This window comes from Homo sapiens, chromosome 4, assembly GCF_000001405.40.
Source record: "Homo sapiens chromosome 4, GRCh38.p14 Primary Assembly".
Lineage (NCBI taxonomy): Eukaryota > Metazoa > Chordata > Mammalia > Primates > Hominidae > Homo > Homo sapiens.
Window position 1 is genome coordinate 88,407,585 of NC_000004.12, and position 19,995 is coordinate 88,427,579.

At 37.7% G+C, this 19,995-nt stretch overlaps 1 protein-coding gene and 1 long non-coding RNA gene across 32 annotated transcripts in view; one reads left to right on the forward strand and one right to left on the reverse strand.

Moving 5' to 3' along the window:
* HERC6 (HECT and RLD domain containing E3 ubiquitin protein ligase family member 6) overlaps window positions 1-19,995 on the forward strand; it is a 64,246-nt gene that overhangs the window by 28,733 nt on the left and 15,518 nt on the right. For 3 of the 6 annotated variants that reach the window (XM_005263083.5, NM_017912.4, XM_047415866.1), the window contains 5 exons: window positions 940-1,033; window positions 5,493-5,682; window positions 9,841-9,995; window positions 16,276-16,389; window positions 17,011-17,118. In XM_005263083.5, coding sequence (XP_005263140.1) covers window positions 940-1,033; window positions 5,493-5,682; window positions 9,841-9,995; window positions 16,276-16,389; window positions 17,011-17,118 — 661 coding nt within the window. Of the gene's footprint in view, window positions 1-939; window positions 1,034-5,492; window positions 5,683-9,840; window positions 9,996-16,275; window positions 16,390-17,010; window positions 17,119-19,995 lie in introns of those variants that run through there. The other 3 variants (XM_011532053.4, NM_001165136.2, XM_047415867.1) reach the window with 2 other exon arrangements.
* LOC102723458 (uncharacterized) overlaps window positions 3,899-19,995 on the reverse strand; it is a 56,224-nt gene continuing 40,127 nt past the window's right edge. For 7 of the 26 annotated variants that reach the window (XR_938976.3, XR_938972.3, XR_938971.2 and 4 more), the window contains 4 exons: window positions 12,772-12,844; window positions 11,990-12,128; window positions 11,718-11,824; window positions 7,797-8,495 (listed from right to left, as the gene is read on the reverse strand). This is a non-coding gene — a long non-coding RNA (uncharacterized LOC102723458). Of the gene's footprint in view, window positions 4,539-7,796; window positions 8,507-11,717; window positions 11,825-11,989; window positions 12,129-12,771; window positions 12,845-19,995 lie in introns of those variants that run through there. The other 19 variants (XR_007058182.1, XR_007058180.1, XR_427567.4 and 16 more) reach the window with 7 other exon arrangements.

Sequence of the window (19,995 nt, forward strand, 5' to 3'; positions counted from 1 at the left end):
TTTTGTAGAGACAAGGTCTTCTCTATGTTGCCCAGGCTAGTCTCTTGAACTCCTGGCTTCAAGCAATGCTCCCACTTTGGTCTCCCAAAGTGTTGGAATTACAGGCATGACCCACTGCCGCTGGCATACAATATTTGATAATGCATTATTTAAAAATGGTTAGGCTTATTGAATGCTGGCCTCTCAAATATCACTAAAACAACTTGTTGATAAGACAGGCCAGAGAGAACAGCACACCTGGACAAAGCGTTGGTACTGTTTCTGAGAGGAAAGACCAGTTCGGAATTTATTTACAATTGGGAGTCTGGCTTAAGGAGGTCTTTCAATATGAGAGGGAAGGCTGGAGGTTTGACTTGGACTGGGTAAATGTACAACAATCCAGGATGGGTGCAAACTGTAAGGTAAGGATTTTGAGATAAGGGATTCAAAGAATCTATGGGCACAAACTGTTGATGCTCTCCATTGAAGAGTTAAATGGGTCTTTCAAGAAGTTCCCATGATGAACAATTTACATTTGCCTGGGCAAAAGTTTCCTGGAAAAGTAAAGTCATGCTAATAAAAACAGTGGAATTGCAAAGTTCTGTAAATATGAATGGTAAGGAGGGTGGGGGGTAGGTAGTTCTAGTTCTTAGTGTGCAAACTGAGTGCGGGGGCAGATGGTTTCTGTTGTCAGATTCAGCACGTAAAATTTTGTTAATATGGCAGTCCAAACTTGATGTAGCCACTACAGAGATAATAAATTGTTATCTACTGTCTTTTAACAAGGAGAACATAAACTGTACATTTTTTATGTCAAGTAAGTTGATTATTTTGAAAGGAGGTAAGCTTTAAGAAAAAGGTTTGTATCTTATATGTAATAAAGCAACAAATGACATACAAACTTTAGAAATATCCCTTTCCTTATGTTTATGTGGTTTCTTGCATTTCTTGTATCCAAAGAGGAACTGGAGAAACGACTTCCATTGATGTGGACTTAGAAATGGCAAGAGATACCTTCAAGAAGTTAACAAAAAAGGAATGGATTTCTTCCATGGTAATAGCCAATACTTACTTTAGATATAGAACAAATACGATTGCAGTTTATTTTTGTTGGAAGCTGGGTGAGATGGGAACTATGATTGTAATTGCCCGATGAGTTCTTCCTGCCCACTGCAGAAACAAAAATCGACCCACTGAGACTATGACATTGTAGTAAAGAAAGAGTTTAATTGACATGAGGCTGGCCATGCCATGTAGGAGACAGAATTATTACTCAAATCAATCTCATGAAGGCTCAGGCTCACAGCTTAGGGGCTTTTCAAAGACAGTTTGGTGGGCAGGGGGCTAGGGTAGGGGGCATGCTGACTGGCTGAGTGAGAGATGAAATCATAGGGAATAGAAACTGTCCTCTTGTGCTGAGTCAGTTCCTGGGTGGGGGCCACAGGACTGGCTGATGGGTCCAGGTGGGACCATCCAGTTGTCAGAAATGCAAAAACCTGAAAAGACATCTCAAAAGGCCAATCTTAAGTTCTAAAATAATGATGTTATTTGCAAGAGTAATTGGGGAAGTTGCAAATCTTATGACCTCCAGAATAATGGCTGATAATTATTTAGAATTCAAGCCCCTTTCATCCTCCTAACTTGTTGGACTTTCATTAGTTTTACAAGAACAATTCAGTTTTGGGGACAGACTATTATCATTTAAACTATAAACTAAATTTCTCCCAAAGTTAGCTTGGCTCATGCCCAAGAATGAGAAAAGACAGCCAACCTGTGAGGCTGGAAGCAAGATAGAGTCAACCATGTCAGATTTCTCTTACTGTCATACTTTTGCAAAGGTGGTTTTATGATTGGGGCCGAAAGAGGGGGCTAGTGTTCATTATGAAATTACTATATTCCAGGTACTATTAGGTGCTGACATTTATTTTCTTATTGAATCCTTAAATGTACAATAGATACAATATTTTTATTTTCAATATAATCAGAGCAATGCTCGAGAGGTGGATAATCTCTAGCATGATATAGGAAAAGAGCATTGGTTTGGGAAGCAGGATAACCTTATCCTGGACTGATCAACTGAAAAGCCACTTCTGTATTCTGAGATGAAACTTACATCTATTTGAGATGAATCTCTGTTACTACTTCATCCTTTCTCTTTGGATCACATTTTCTTTACCTGTTGAATTCATCTTTAAAATCTATTCCAGTTTAATATTGTGTGATTCTGGGTTGTATTGGGAAGAAAATTTTCTTTTCCTGTCCTGACTCAGGTTTGAGCTGGTGGATGGGGTCACTGAAAATTAATAATTAACAGAATCTCTTAGTGCTCAGGATGCTGTAGACTGGGTAGCTTAAACAACAGACATTTATTTCTCACAGTTCTGGAGGCTGGGAAGTCCAAGACCAAGGCACCATCAGGTTTGGTGTCTGGTGAGGGCCCACTTCTTGGTTAATAGATGACCATATTTTCAGTGTCCTCACATGGCAGTGTGAACCCCAAATATCTAAGACAGGTCTCAGTTAATTTAGAAAGTATATTTTGCCAAGATTGAGGACACACGCCTGTGACACAGCCTCAGGAGGTCCTGATGACATGTGCCCAAGGTAGTGGGAGCACAGTTTGGTTTTATACATTTTCAGGAGACACGACACATCAATCCACATATATAAGATGAACACTGGTTTGGTCTGGAAAGGCGGGACAACTCAAAGCAGGGAGGGGCCTTCCAGGTCTTAGGTAGATGAGAGAAAAATGGTTGCATGCTTTTGAGTTTCTGATTAGCCTCTCCAAAAGAGGCATCAGATATGCATCTATCTCAGTGAACAGAAGGGTGACTTTGAACAGAATGGGAGGCAGGTTTGCACTAAGCAGTTCCCAGCTTGACTTTCCCCTTTAGCTTAGTGATTTTGAGGCCCGAAGATTTATTTTCCTTTCACAGCAAAAAGGGCAAGAAATCTCTCTGGGGTCTCTTTTGTAAGGGCACTAATCCATTCATGAGAGCTCCAATCTTGTGACCTAATTACCTACCAAAGGCCCCACCTCTTAATACTATCATATTGGGGGTTAGGATTTTAACATATGAATTTTGGGGAACACATTTAGCCTATAGCACAGGAGGAAAAAAACAAGTTTTGTACGCTTGCATGTGGGGCATTCAGATGAAGAGGCTCCCTGAACAGCTAGGGATAAGAATTTATAAACCAACTTAATGGAGGAAAGGGAGAAGGGAGAAAGGGCTCCTATGGGAAGAACAAATGGGATTTTATGGAGACAAATGGAAGGTATGACAGTTTGTGAGAATGTTTGTTTATGCAATTTCTCATCCACATGCAAGTTGTCTGAATGATTGGTCTCCTTTTTAGCAGTGTAGCTCCTCAATGGGGGATGTACAAGAGCTTCATACTAGAAGAGCTCTGCATTAGTTAGATAAAAGAAGCTCCAAAAAGGCATCTCAAATGTCTTCAGTTAGTAAAATAATCTTTATACCATTTTGATGGGTCTGAGTGGGTCCTTATACTTGGAAGGGACAGGCGGAAAGTGTTCCTTAATGTGTAGTAGATACAATATTTTCATTTTCAAGATGAAGTGATAATAGCAAATATTATGAAGTATATTTCTTAAATGAATTTAGGTGATATGGGAGATAATTTGGGGTGCTGTTCCCGGTGTAAGTTCCAAGGGACATTAGTTTTATAAAAAACCCCATAAAAAAGGGTTCTTAATGAGAAAACTTTGGGAACACTCCCTACTATTATGGAGTCATGATATGCGCATTAGGAAATCAAAGATTCTATGATGTCATACACTAAAAGAAATCTCTTTTGACCCTATTTTTCTTGGAGTTATTTGACATTGTGATGCTATTTTCTGGCATAACACCTACTGGCATTCCACAGAAATCATATTCTGCTAGACATGTGAAAAAGCAAATTTTAAGAATTTTAATGTAATAAAAACAATATATAGTACATCACAGTTTATTGTTGCATATATCACTTATTTACCCTTAGGACATGAAAGGCAAACACTGTAATTACAGAACATAGATCTATCAGGTAGAGTAAATATGGCTAGCTGCTATGACAAACAACTTTGAAATCCCAGTAGCTTAACACAGTATTTTCCAACATCCTAGTCCAACAAGGGTTGGAGGTCAGAGGCACCTTTGCACAGGTTCATTCAGGGCTGAATCAGGCTTCTTTCCAGCATCTCTAGGCCCTGGGGCTGTAAAATCCTCCACTCAATCTTTTGGGTTGGCTAGCAGATGAGGGAAGTGAGTATGGAAGTTCCCATGAGAGGTTTCAGTGGCCTGGCCTTAATGTGTCACACATCACTTTCTCCCACATTGGTGAGCTAAGACTCAGTCACATGGCCCTGCCTGATTGCAGGGGAGCCAGGGGCTGCCATCTTCCTATAAACCCAGGAGGAAAAAGAAAAACGACTGGCAAGGTGAACATATGGCATTTTCTCTGCCATGGTAGATTTTACTACTATGGTAGTGCCACAGTCACTTTCTAATCGAGTAACGCTGACTTCCTCTGAGTCTCTCCTTGCTCATCTGTAAAAACAAGGTAAAACACAAATAAAGCAAAAATTACCTTACAGGATTATCAGTAAGATTAAATAAAATGATTTACACGAGATCACCTGACACATTGTAAGTACTCAATGAATGTTCAAACAAATATAAAGAATACCATACAAGTTTATTCCCACTAGTATGTTTTTATATACGTCCTATTTTAAAAGTTTACTTCTGGGCCAGGTACACTGGCTCATGCCTGTAATCCTAGCACTTTGGGAGGCCAAGGTGGGAGTATCACCTGAGCCCAAGAGTTTGAGACTGGCCTGGGCAACATAGTGAGACTCCATCTCTACAAATAATTTTCTAAAATGGGCTGGCTGTGGCAGTGCACTCCACTTAGGAGTCTTGAGGTGGGAGGATTGCCTCAACCAAGGAGCTTGAGGCTGCAGTGAGCTATGATTGAGCCACTGCACTCCAGCTGTAATTGAGCCACTACACGCTGAAGTAAAACTTTACCTCTGGATGAAATAAATAATATAAAAATTTAGAGCTATTTTTCTCTGCAAATTTTTCTACTGATACATGAGAAAACAGAAAGAAAGAAATGGATATTGTGTGAGGGGAAGGGGACAGCTCTTCCTTCTAGAAGGAGGAATACTAATGTGACCTGCATACAACATTGCTTTTGAAGGGCTTTGTATTCGTTTTGAATCCATAATTCACTCAGTATATCCATGCTCATGGGATTTCACTTTATTTTCTTCAGGGAACCTGATATAAAATGAGGAGGATGGCTCTCATGTACTATATCAGGGGTATTTGGGATGGAAGGAGTGATGGAGTCTCATCAATAGGTTTCAGAATGGCTAAGTGATTATTCTAATTGGAACATGGTGGAGTGAAACCCTTAATTTCACAGCTTGCTTCTCACAATCCTCTGTATCTAATATATCCTGGGTCTGTTCCCTGATCCTATTTTTACCACAGATAACTACGTGTCTCGAGGATGATCTGCTCAGAGCTCTTCCATGCCATTCTCCACACCAAGAAGCTTTATCAGTTTTCCTCCTGCTCCCAGAATGTCCTGTGATGCATGATTCTAAGAACTGGAAGAACCTGGTGGTTCCATTTGCAAAGGCTGTGTGTGAAATGAGTAAACAATCTTTGCAAGTCCTAAGTAAGTTTTATGTCACTTTATCTGTACTCTCAATATAGAGTCACTCTCTGAAGTAGACGTTGTAGCAAATTTTGAATAGAAGATTTCAAAATAGACAAGTATTTGAGAACATGGCATGTAAATTATTGAAAAGATTAATAATCTAAAGCTATTATAATTATTAGTTCTATCATACAAAGCAGGTGTAGTTTTTAGACTTGGATGTGGCTTTGACATCAGAGTTTGGTAGCTATAAGGTATTCATTTTAGACTTGGATGTGGCTTTGACATCAGAGTTTGGTAGCTATAAAGTATTCAATCAAGATCAATCCATACTTTAAAATTTTTTGCTCATGTTATTTTGAAACTTTTGACATTTTGACCAGATGATGAAAAACAAATGTTAAACTTTGTATTATTATTATTTACTTTATTCAGTACTGTATTATGTCCTTTTATAGCTTTTAGCGTATATTGAAAGTTCAGTGATTACCCAATAACCCAATGGGGTCCAGATGTTTATATACCCTTCTACATAGAGGAGAGGGGAGGTAGGGAATGTAGACAATTCTTTTGAGGAGTAGTAAATGACTATTAGGGAGAATGAGTGACCCAGGAAACAGAAATTAACTTGTAAATGATTCTCCTTGGAATTGGAATGAGCCTGAGAGGCAGGCATTATCTTTTGAAAAAATACATCTAGGTGTGGTTACATTCCTCAGTCGTCTTGTCTGTGACAGATAATGTAATTTCAGAGATGGCATGAAAGGCAATTCTGTTCTCTGTAGTGGGTCCAGTCTTAAGGTAGATAAGGGAGTGTCAGAGAAAAGCCTTTTCCAGCATCTGCTGACCTTCAAGGGCCTTTAACTTAAAATAATCAGCATACCAGGGTGCCATATTTTGGGGCAAATTTCCCTGGACTCCTTCACTTAAGAGGTACAGAGGGCCAGGCATTGTGGCTTACACCTTAATCCTAGCATTTTGGGAGACTAAGGTGAGAGAATCTTTTGAGCCCAGGAGGTTGAGGGCAGCCTGGGCAACATAGTGAGACCCCGACTCTACCAATTTTTTTTTTTTTAAATCAGCCATGCATGGTGGCACACACCTGTGGTCCCAGCTACTTGGAAGCTGAGGCAGGAGGATCACTTGAGCCCAGGAGTTTAAGTCTGTATTACTGGAAAGGGGTCCCAATCCAGATCCCAAACAAGGGTTCTTAGATCTCACACAAGAAATAATTCAGGGAGCGTCTATAAAGTGAAAGTAAGTTTACTAAGAAAGTAGAAGAATAAAAAATGGCTACTCCACAGGCAGAGCAGCTCCTTGGGGCTGCTGGTTGCCCATTTTTATGGTTATTTCTTGATTATGTGCTGAAGAAGGGGTGGGTTATTCATACCTCCCCTTTTTAGATCATATAGGGTAACTTCCTGGCATTGCCATGGCATTTGTAAACTGTCACGGTGCTGGTGAAAGTACAGCAGTGAGGACGACCAGAGGTCACTCTCATTGCCATCTTGGTTTTGGTGGATTCTAGCCGGCTTCTTTACTGCAAGCTGTTTTATCATCAAGGTCTTTATGACCTGTATCTTGTGCTGACCTCCGATCTCATTCTGTCATCTAGAACGCCTAACTGTCTGGGATGGTAGCCCAGTAGGTCTCAGCCTTATTTTACCCAGCTCCTATTCAAGATGGAGTTGCTCTGGTTCAAATGCCTCTGACAGCAGCAGTAAGCTATCAGCATACCACTGCACTCCAGCCTGGGTGACAGAGCAATACCCTATCTCAAAGAAAAACAAAAAGGTACAGAGGATATGTACAATGAAATGTAAGCCACCCAGTTCCCCTCCCAGAAGTGGCTACAGGTTCTAGTTTCTTGTGTAACGTTTGAAAGATATTCTATATATAGAAACATACAAATGTATTATTTCTGTTTTTAATGGTAGCAAACTATTAAAGTTCCTCTTCCACAACTTGCTTTCTCCCACTAAACAGGATATCATGGAGATCATTCCAATAGAGAATCTATAGAACTGCCTCATTCTATTTAATGGCTGAAGAATGTTCTATTGTGAAGCATTTCATTGTACATATATAAATTCACACATGCAGGAAACATTCCAGAAAGCAAAATCACTGAGTCAAATTGTATGTACATTTTTATTTTGAGATATTTTGCCAAATGACCCTCCACAGAGTCAAGGTCATCATATCACCCAATTTGAAGTGGTTGTCATTCACACTGTAGTCTGTATAAATTTCACCCCTAGAGTTGGGAAACCTGTCCGTACTGACAAAGGATGTATCAATTTACACTTCATCAATGAATATGAGAATATCGGTCTGCATACTTTCCAACCATGTTATCAAACTTTGATCTTTGCCATTCTGAGGAAAAAAAACTTTTAATTTTAAGTTGAATTTTTCTTATTAAGAGTGAGATTGTGCCGGTTTTTGTATATCACAGATCACTTTGTATATCATATTCTGTGAACTCTTACTATAGGACCACCAGGTCTGATTTCCTGTTGCACAGTAACAGACCAATACACTGAAAAAGTAGGAGTTGCAGCAGAGAAAGAATTTAATAATTGTAGGGAAACCAAATGAGGAGATGAGAGGAAACCTCAAATATGCCTCTTCAAGAGGTTTGCAGATGGGGTTTTTAAGGGGTCTGGACACAGGTGATGGCCTAAAGTGTGGTGATCACTGATTGGTTGAGAAGTGAGGGGTGAAGTCAGGGATAGGGAGATGAAGAAACTGCATTCCTGCACTGAGTCAGTTCCTTGGTGAGGGTCTTCAGACCAGTTGGTGTCAGCCATTCTGCTGGAATTCAGGATCTGCAAAATGCCTTAAATAATTATTGGGTAAAAAGGTCCAGTGTCAGAGATTTTATCCATAGGAACAATGGGAGAGCAGGTGCTCAGTGTGCTGTGTGACTCAGGGTTAGTTATCAGCTCAGGGAAGTGGGTTGAAGTGCACCAGCACACCCTAGTCAATTGACCTCGTCAATGACCATAATTCTGCATAAAGCCTGGCTTATAATTCCCATTAACCCTGTGAGAGCGGTTTTGCTATTCTTCCTTCTTTGCTCTTTTCCTATTGGTTGTTAGTATTTTTCTGTTTTATTTTAGGAGCTTTTTAATTATGAAGGCAATTAATCCTTTATCAATAATATGAATTGCAAGTATTTAGGCTATTAAAAATTTTTTTTTACTTTGTGGTATTTTTGCTATGCAGAATTATTTTAAAAAATTTTAATGTAGCCTACTATATTAATATTTTATTCTATGGTTTCTGGATTTGGGGTCATACTTCAAAAATAATTTATAACTAAAATAATTCCCATCCTCCTGCTGTAATTGTTATTATTTTATTTTTATATTTAAATATTTGATCCATATGAAGTTTATCTTGGTTAAACACTATTTTTTCTAGATCAGTTTCCAGTTTTCCCCACATATTTATTAAATCTTTTTCATTCCCACTAATATGCAATGCCGCATTTATTATGTATTAAAGTTTCGTGTGTATTTGAGTCTACTTATGGAATCTCTATGTGTTTGCTTTTCATATATCTAGGTAATACTGTTTTAATTACATTTGCTTGATAATGTATTTTAACATCAAATTTATTTGTTTTCTGAGAGTTATTCTGAGAATTTAAAGGTTCCACATTCCAAATCCATGTTGCAATCCAGTAATATTAAAATATAATTATTGGCTATTTTAAAAAGTACATGGCCATGTACCAGATGTTCATAAAATCCAAACACATATATAATATTTTTTCATTTTTTACAGATTAAAAACGTCCTTGATGCCATTGTATGTGTTTGTGTATTCACCTGTGTGTGTTTTCAGACTTCATAGATACCCTATACAATTGTCAGTTTGAAAATCATGAAGTCAATCAATTAAGCATAAATGTGAGCCATTAACCAATTTCTTCAAATCCTGAATTTGAGCTTTTCAAAATTCTAATGATACTTAATAAGGGAAAAAAATTTCCACATCTGTGAGCAGTAACTGTTGTGCAGGATATACTTAAAAAAGATATTCATAAATTATGCCATCAGAAATGTAAAATATTATCTATTTCTTACATTAAAGAACCCACTAGAAACAGAGATTTGGGGGGTGGTAGGAAAAACATATTTATCATGGCTAATTTTACACCCCCAGAGAAGTGTTGGGCATTTTTGCAAGAATCTTCTCTGAATCCGCTGATCCAGATGCTTAAAGCAGCCATCATCTCTCAGCTGCTTCATCAGACTAAAACCGAACAGGATCACTGTAATGTTAAAGCTCTTTTAGGAATGATGAAAGAACTGCATAAGGTAAGGGTTACTCTAAAGGAATGCATGTACTATTTTATGTAATCAAAATCCCTTAAGTCTCAACCAGTTGGACTTCTAAGAAGTCAAATAAAAATCATGAGGAGTCAAATGTTTTTTAAAGGAGTATAGAAAAGGGAAATGTTTGGCATAAAATAATTAGGGATTTAAAAGTTGAGAAACTTTAGGAGGACTTAAGATGTTTTGTAATGGACTTCTTTCATTAAGAAAAAGTACACTGTGCTTGTAATTCTAGCTACTCTGGAAGCTGAGGTGGGAGGATGGCTTGAGCCCAGGAATTTGAGGCTGCAGTGAGCTATGATTGTGCCACTGTACCCCAGCCTGGGTGACAGAGCAAAACCACATTTCTTAAAAAAAAAAAAAAGTAAAGTACACTGAAGATACTGCTACATGTAACAACATACAACAACATGGATGAATCTCATCAACACAGTGATAAGCAAAAAACACACCAAAAATTACACTCTATGTCATCTTTTATAAGAATTTTAAAAACAAGCAGAGCTAATCTATAATGACAGAAAGCAGAATGGTGTTACCTCTTGGGAAGGGCAATTGGTTTGGAAGGAGCATAGGAGAACATCCTGGGGCCTGCTAGAAATGTTCCATGTCTTCACCTGGACAGTACTTACCCAAGTGAGTATGTGTGTAAAAACTCACCAAGCTGCACATTTAAGATGTATGCACTTAGTCAATGTATGTTGTAAGAAAAAAAACCCAGAATCACATAGAAAAACCCTCCCTCAAAGTAGGAGCGAGCCAAAAGACCAAAAAATGACTTAGGACAAGCCCAGCTTGATGAGTAGATGTTGTCTATTAGGACTTACATACAGGGCACTCCTGGACGGCAATAGGACAGCTCTAGTGATCTGTGCTGCCTCCCATCTCTAAACTGCTTTTAAGCGAATTTTCTGGCTCAAAGAGCTACAGTGTTTGAGCCATGAGAATGTTTTTCTTGGTAGGTTCTCAGATACTCTCCAGGATGTTTGGGTTCTCAGGGACACCTGCTCCTCAGCTGGGCACCGTGGCCTTGGCTCATTGCCTGGCCTTCAGGGTTAAGGCACTGGATAAAAACCCTTAAGTAACTTGGTGAGAGACCCATCACACTACACATGTGTGATTTTTTTGTTTGTTTGTTTGTTTGCTTGAGACAGAGTCTAGCCCTGTTGCCCAGGCTGGAGTGCAGTGGTGTGATCTTGGCTCACTGCAACCTCTGCCTCCTGGGTTCAAGTGATTCACCTGCCTCAGCCTCCGGAATAGCTGGGATTACAGGCACCTGCCACCACACCCAGATAATTTTTGTATGTTTAATAGAGATGGGGTTTCACCATGTTGGCCAGGCTGGTCTCGAACTCCTGACCTCAAGTGATCCGCCTGCCTCGCCTCCCAAAATGCTGGGATTATAGGCGTGAGTCACTGTGCCCAGCCCAGATATGTGATTTATAAATGAAACATATATGTTTTATTTGTAACTTAGTAAAAATTAAATAGAAAGGAAGAAAAGTTCACCGAGGACTATGGCCAGAACAAAGAAAGGGCCCAATGGATACTGTTAGATCAACTCAGTCTGTCTATATCAGAATATTTGCTAAATCCCACTGTAGAAATATCAAATGAGGCCATTAGGATTTGGTGTCCACGTTCTCTATGGCTGTGTCAACATTAGGGTCACCAAGAATGCAAAGTCTGTTTTAGTAGAGTTACCTAGAGTCAGTGGTATCCAGAAGTCACTGGGCGTGGTTACATCATCCTCATTCTGCTTTGGGTGGTAGTCCCAATAAAGAGAAATCAGACTGGACTCTTGACTAGATCTAAAGATTGACACAACCATGTTACAGATGAGTGTCTGAATTCACAGTGATCAGTGATTCACAGAAGAGCTCTTAAATTCCAGAGAAGTAGACCAGAGTAATGAGCACTAATGTCTAAGGCACCTAGGGCAGCACTTCTTAAACTTTAATATGCATGCAAGTTACCTGAGATCTTGTTAAAAAATTCAGATTCTGATCCGGTAGGCCTGGGGTGGTGCCAAAGATTCTGAGAAATTCTTAAGTGATGTCATTGCTGATACCTGAAGGATTTATGCTTTGATGTTCTTGTGCCTAGGAAGAAAAGCTATTAAACTAATTAATAATGAATTAGTAATTAAGACCATTACACTGTAATTTACTGTCTTAAGCTGCAATTAATAAACATAATATTTGGTCTCGGTTCTGGAATGGTCTCTAGTATTGTGGACAATTGGAAGACTATATTTGTTTTACTAATGTTGTGATAGAGAAAGCACAATATTAGGTCATGCTAACTTCAGACGTACATCCTAGGACCCAAACATTGTCATAAATCCTCTCTCTTCCCCTCTCCCTCTCCCTCTCCCTCAAACATTGTCATCAATCCTCTGTCTTCTCCTCTCCCTCTCCCTCTGCTCTCTCTCTCTCTCGGCTTTTTTCTTTTTGGGTTTCATTCTCTCTTACTATATATAGGGTGTCAGAGCAGGGCACTGTTTCTCACACTAACTTTCGTTTTCTTTCTAGGTTAAATTTACTTCTTAATAAAATACACCTCTTTCCCTGGCGCTTTGTAGTACTCCTTGTGTTGAAAATCAAGTATTCATTTGGCTGTTAATCTATCCTTGTACCTGTATAACACCGTACAAGTTACTGTATCTTTATAATAAATATTGATATGTGATAAAGTTTCAACTTTTATCTTCTCCTTCAGTGTTATTGTTAAACTTAAATATTAACTTTAGAATTACCTTTTTGTTCCAATTCCACAAATTCCATTTGTCGGGCTTTTGATTGTGTCTTTGACCTGGTAGTGAAATGAATCTATAGAACAATTGGAGAGAGAATGACAACTTTACTGAGTCTTCTAAGTCTGATCATGACATAGCTCTCTGTTTATTTAGTTCTGCAGTTTCTTACAATAATATGTTATAGTGTTCTATGTAGAAGTCTTGCAGTCTTTTATTAGATAAATCATGAGTACTTGATATTTTATGTGGTTATATATCTTTTTAAAACAGCTTTATTGAGATATAATTCTCTCATTTAAAATATACAATGTCATGCCTGTAATCCCAGCACTTTGGGAAGCTAGGGTGGAAAGATTGCTTGAGCTCAGGAGTTTGAGACCAGCCTGGGCAACATAGTGAGACCTTGTCTCTATTTTTTTAAAAATAAAAATAAATAAATAAAATGTGCAATGTAATACTTTTTAGCATATTCATGGAGTTGTATAACCTTTACCCAAATCAACTTTACAACATTTTTATCACCCAAAAAGAAGCCCTATACCCATTAGCAGTCACTCCCCATTCCCCATTCCCCCTCAACTCCCATCCCCTTATTCTCACTCCAGCCCTAGGCAATCACTAATCTACTTTCTGTCTCTACAGATTTGCCTATTCTGGACATTTTATGTAAATGGAATCACACATTATGTAGTCTTTTGTAACTAGCTTTTTTCACTTAGCATAATGTTTTCAAGGTTCATCTATGTTGGAGTATGTATGAGTACTTCATTCTTTTTTATTGATGAATAATATAATGCATTGTATGAAATACCACATTTTATATATCCCTTCCTCAATTGATGGATATTTGGGTTATTTCCACTCTTTGGCTATTATGAATAATGCCGCTATTTAAATGTCTGTACAAATTTTTGTGTAGACATGTTTTCATTTCCCGTATATACCCAAGAGTGGGATATCTGGGTCATATGGCAACTCTAGTTTAATCTTGTGAGGAACCAGCAGACTGTTTTCCAAAGCAGCTACACCATTTTGTATTACCACTAGCAATGTATGACAGTTCTAGTTTTTCCACGTTCTTTTTTCTTTTCTTTTCTTTTTTTTTTTTTTGAGACGGATTCTTGCTCTGTTGCCCAGGCTGGAATGCAGTGGCAGGATCTCGGCTCACTGCCACCTCCACCTCCCAGGTTCAAGCGATTCTCCTGCCTTAGCTTCACAAGTAGCTGGCATTACAGGTGTACACCCCATGCCTGGCTAATTTTTGTATTTTTGTAGAGACTGGGTTTTACCATGTTGGCCAGACTGGTCCCGAACTCCTGACCTCAAGTAATCCACCCACCTCAGTCTTTCAAAGTGCTAGGATTACAGGCATAAGCCACCGCACCCGACCACTTTTCCACATTCTTGCCAACACTTGTTATTATCTGTCATTTGGATTATAGTTATCCTAGTGAGTGGGAAATGATATTTCCTTGTGATTTTGACTTGTATTTCCTTGATGGCTAATGATGTTGAGCAGTTCATATGCTTATTGCCCATTTCTGTATCTTATTTTGAGAAATGTTTATTTAGGTCTTTTGTCCATTTTAAAATTAGTTTATTAGTCTTTTTATTATTGAGTCATAAGAGTTCTTTACATACAGTTACAAGTCCCTTATCGGATATACGATTTGCTAGTATTTTCCCATGTGTTGTTTTTTCACTTTCACCATGGTGTCTTTATGCACAAATGTTTTTTATTTTGATGATAAATTCATCTACTTTTTCCTCTTAAAAGTTAAATTTTTAACTGTCTTTGATGTATAGAAATGCAGTAATTTTTATACATTAAGCTTGTTTTTTAACAATCTTGTTAAATTTACCTACTAAAACTAATCTCTTGACTTCTTTGGATTTTCTCTGTATAGAATCATATAACTTGAAATAATAACAGTTTTGTTCCTATTTATTTTTCTTTACTTATTTCATTGGCTAGGACAACCAGTATAATGTTTTATAACCTTATTCTGATCTCAAAGGGAAAACCTTAACATCCAGTTTTATGTTTTGCTGTGGGATTTTTGTAGATACGTTTTTAAAAGGTTAAGGAAACTTCATTCTATTTCTAGTTTGCTGAGGGCTTTGTTCTTTTAGATCATGAATGGATACTGAATTTTATTAAATGCTTTTTCTGCATACGATGGCAAAATACACAGATGGGTTTTCAGCTGTTTTAACTTTATCTACTTGAAGTAACACAGCCTGCTCATGTGTTATAGATTTCAAAGATTCCATTTGCTGATATTTTGCTTATCATATTTGCATCTATATTCATGAGTGAGACTGGTTTGTTATTTTACTTTCTCATAATGCCCCTGTGAGGTTTCTGGACCAGGTAATGCTAATCTCATGAAATTATTTGGGGAATATTCTTTCTCTATTTTATGTAAAAGATTGTATAATACTAGCATTTTCCTTAAATGATAGGTAGAACTAATCTATAAACCTTTTGGGTCTGGAAATTTCTTTGTCGGAAGTTTTTTAAATTATGGGTTTAATTTATTTAACAGCCACAGGATTATTGAGATTTTCTATTTTTTTCTTGTATTGCTGGGTATTTCCCCAGGATTTGTCTCTTTATCTAAGTTTTCAAATGTCCTATTTTTATCTTTTTAATCTCATCACAATCTGTAGTTTTGCCCCATTTTTCATTCTTGATACTGGTTTTTTTTTTTGTTTTTTTTAAAGTCTTACCAGGAAATTGTTTTTTCTTTTTTAAAGACGCAGTCTTTTCATTTGTTGATCTTGCTCCTGTATATTTGTTTTTCATTTCCTTAATTTATGTTCTTAAGTTTCTTATTTCCCACCTTCTATCATTTGGATTCATTTTTGTGATGGAGGCATTTAGATCATTTAGATCACTGATGCTTCCTCTAGGAAGCCTTCTTGAACCTCTTAAGTCTTTCCCCAATCAGAAACTGTATCCTAAATTCCTGGTAACTTGTTGTTTTTACCTACTAGACCACAGATTGTCAATCTACACCCAAGGGCAGTCTCCTGTTTTTGCAAATACAGTTTTATGGGAATAGATCCACATTCATTTGTGTAAGACAGGACATTTTAATCTAAAGATTTGTCCTGTGCTTGACAAAAATAGTGTGTGCCAAGTTAGTATTTATTAATTAAGGAGCAAAGTGCTGAATTTGTTAAAAGTACCTTGGATTTTTATGGTGCTTTTATTCTCAAAATCTAGAAACTATTTCCAGTAAATCTATGCCCTAAAAATTAGTTTACTAATCCACACTGTCAGCGTCTTATCTTTGACATTTCTTCATGAAAATTAAGGAAATTATAGCTCAGAAAATGGAAACTTTATAGAACTCTATTTCATCACTGACAAATGTTTTCAGTTTAGAGAGCTTTCTTCTTCTTATCTGTATAACAGCCATACATATATATCTATATATCATAGATTAAATCACTTATTGATAGAAAATGAAATTCACAGGTCATATTCTCTTTAAGGTAAACAAAGCTAACTGTCGACTACCAGAAAATACTTTCAACATAAATGAACTCTCCAACTTATTAAACTTTTATATAGATAGAGGAAGACAGCTCTTTCGGGATAACCACCTGGTAAGAATAACATTTTTACTTCTGAAAATGTTCATATTTTAAAGGAAGACACATTACTGTAGTATCTGTAAAGGTACTCTTTGATAAATCAGGATTTGAAAATTTTTTAATTGCAATGATAAATTTGCTAAATTTGATGATCACTGAAAACTTAAATATATTTTAATCATAAAACAAATGCAGTTTTTGAAATTTTGTTTCTAAGTAATTCGGATTCTTACAGATTTCTGAGGCCAGGTGCAGTGGCTCACACCTGTAATCCCAGCACTTTGGGAGGCCAAGGTGAGCAGATTGCTTGAGCCCCGGAGTTTGAGACCAGCTTGGGCAACATGGTGAAACGCTGTCTCTATCGAAAAAATACAAATACGTGGTAGCACGTATCTGTACTCCCAGCTACTCAAGAGGCTGAGGTGGGAGGATCACTTGAGCCCAGAGAAGGAGGTTTTAGTGAGCCAAGTTTATGCCCCTGCACTCCAGCCTGGGCAATAGAACAAGACTCTGCCTTAAAAAAACAAAGAACCACAAAAACCAGATTCCAAAAAAAAGGCGATAAGGTAAAGGAAGTAAGTTTTTTTTCATTGTTTTTAATTATCAAAACTATTATCTCTGTTTATTTTTTAGATACCTGCAGAAACCCCCAGTCCTGTTATTTTCAGTGATTTTCCATTTATCTTTAATTCGCTATCCAAAATTAAATTATTGCAAGCTGATTCACATATAAAGATGCAGGTATGTATGTCCTATTTTTTAGTATGAAAAATTTCAAACATATATAAAATAGAGATAGTGGTATAATGAATCCCATCACCAAGATTCAGCAATTGTCAACATTTTGCCACACTTTTATCTATCACTTTTTTTCTTTGTTGTTGTTACTGTTTTTGCTGAAGTATTTTACAGCAAATTTCAGTTCCAATGTCTCTTCACCTGCCCATACTTCAATGCATTATTTCTGGTTGTCCTACTCGTGTTCACTGTGAGATTCATGAGTGGTTCAAGTGGCAACCACATGATTCTTTCATTGTTTCTCATTAACCTTTTATTTAATAATTTCATCCATTATTTTCATTAAGGTTTGTGGTATGGCAATACTTCTAATCTTATTCCTTCCAAAGTCATTTCCTGGAATTAGGTAAAAAAGAGCTTTTCCTTATCAGTCAGGGCACTTGGTTCCTCCAAAATGGTTAAAGACCATTCACATAGGAAGGTAGAATAATTAATTCCTATCCCTTTAATTATCAAATGTTGCCAAATTACCCTCTATAGAGTTTGTAAATGCCTCTTCCACATGCTGTTCTCAGCAATGCAGAGTATTATCAAGCTTTGTGATCTTTTCCATTTTGATGAGTTAATCATGATATTTCACGTTGATTTTAATTTATATTTCTCCTTGTTATTTAATGTTCTAGTCCTCACTTTCTTTATATAATATGTATCTATTGTTTTCCTGCCATGAACAACACTGACGCTATCCAGTAATCTGTTCTTTCCTTCTCTCTTCCCTCTCCTCCTCTATCCAATTTTAATTGCTGTGTTCTTAAGTGCTAATCTTTGGATTAAAAATACCTCCTTAAGCTTCTTGGAGCTTGATTTATAAGCTCCGACTGATATTCTTTTATTCTTAAATAATGTCTATGAGTCAATCAATGAGTTTATTTTGTTTTCCACTTACTTTCACCCTTCTGCTTCTTTTCTGGTAGTTGTATTAGTCCCACATAAGATTTACATACTATTTTGTTTCTTTTATCACCATCAGCCTTAGTTCTCAGTTAAGTATATATAATGCCATCCCCTTATTATGCTAAAACAAATTTTCCAAACTTTTTTTTTATTGCTGAGGCTTGTTTTCTAGGTCATTCCTCATGAAAAGTTTATATCTATTTTTCTATGATATTTATATTTTAAAGACTCATAGGAATCAGAACTTATACCCATTATTGACTTTTATTACTAATTCAAAGGATGCATCTGGGTGAAACATAAGAAGTCTGAGATAGAACATGCACAAGAGAAGCCATTTCAGTTATTCATTCCCTTTTTATACCCCGCTAATTACATGGCTTACATGACATTTTCCAATGTGCCATGCCCCATAAATCCACGAATTCCAGGTTTATTTATAATAAGCAACCTAGACAGACAAGGTATATCCTGCTAGTAGCATTCCACAGGTAAGGGCTGTCCCTCTAGTTCCTATTATTATTATTATTTTGAGACAGAGTTTTGCTCTTGTTGCCCAGGCTGGAGTACAATGGTGCAATCTCAGCTCACCACAACCTCTGCCTCCCGGGTTCAAGCGATTCTTCTGCCTCAGCCTCCCAAGTAGGTGGGATTACAGGCATGCGCCACCATGCCTGGCTAATTTTGTATTTTTAGTAGAGACAGGGTTTCTCCATGTTGGTCAGGCTGGTCTCGAACTCCCAACCTCAAGTGATCTGCCTGCCTTGGCCTCCCAAAGTGCTGGGATTACAGGCGTGAGCCACCGCACCCGGCTTATTATTATTATTATCATCATCATCATCTTAAGACAGAGTCTAGCTCTGTTGCCCAGGCTGGAGTGCGATGGTGCGATTTCTGCTCACTGTAACCTTCACCTCCCAGTTTCAACTGATTCTCCTGCCTCAGTCTCCCAAGTAGCTGGGATTACAGGCACCCACCACACCCAGCTAATTTTTGTATTTTAGTAGAGACGGGGTTTCACCATGTTGGTCAGGCTGGTCTCGAACTCCTGACCTCAGGTGATCGGCCCGCCTCAGCCTCCCAAAGTGCTGGGATTACAGGCGTGAGCCACCACGCCCGGACTAGTTACTATTATTAGTGCCTATTACCAGCATGTTTACAAATATATTTGACCAGGTCATCTCTTCTTTTATTTCTGAGCCATCTGTTTTTATTTTTGTAACATCCCTGGTAAAGGGAGAAAATAGATTGTCTTTCCTTTCCAAACCTAACTTTCCCATCAATTTCCCTTAAACAAGACCTTCCCTTTATGGTATTTTCTCCTATAGTCATGTTTCTCTCTGGGTCATTTGTCTATTCTGCTAGTGAGTAGTCGAGGGTTGAGTGAATAATGGACTCGGGCAGATTGCACATTATGAAAGACTAGGAAAAGTCTGAGGACAAGAAAACTCTTACTTTTAGTTGTTATGAGTGAAGCTGGAAAGCTGACTTTACAATCCTGCTCTCCAAAGGAGAGATAATGGATATAGTTAAAACTGCAAGCTCCAAAGTGGATCACCAATTCAAATGTGTAAATGTGAAAAGGTAAAACCAATATACAGAGAACCGGAGTAGAGAAGCTAGAAATTAAGCTAAGAGGCAGGTTTCCCATCTAGCTCTTGGTTATGTAAAAGAAGGTACAGACACCTCTCCCTGCTGTAGTCAGTGGAGGACATTGCTGGCCACAAACCCATGGAACTCAGACCCATGGAACATGTTGCTCAGTAGTCAGTATTGCTGGATGTCCCAGACCTGCAGACTTCTGCAGGGCCACAGGAGGTGATGACCCACCACCAGAAAGGAACAGAGATGGAACTTGTTCCTTTTCCCTACAAATCTGGTGCCTAAAAAAAAAAATCTTAAAGAAAAACCAGAAGAATCTAGTAA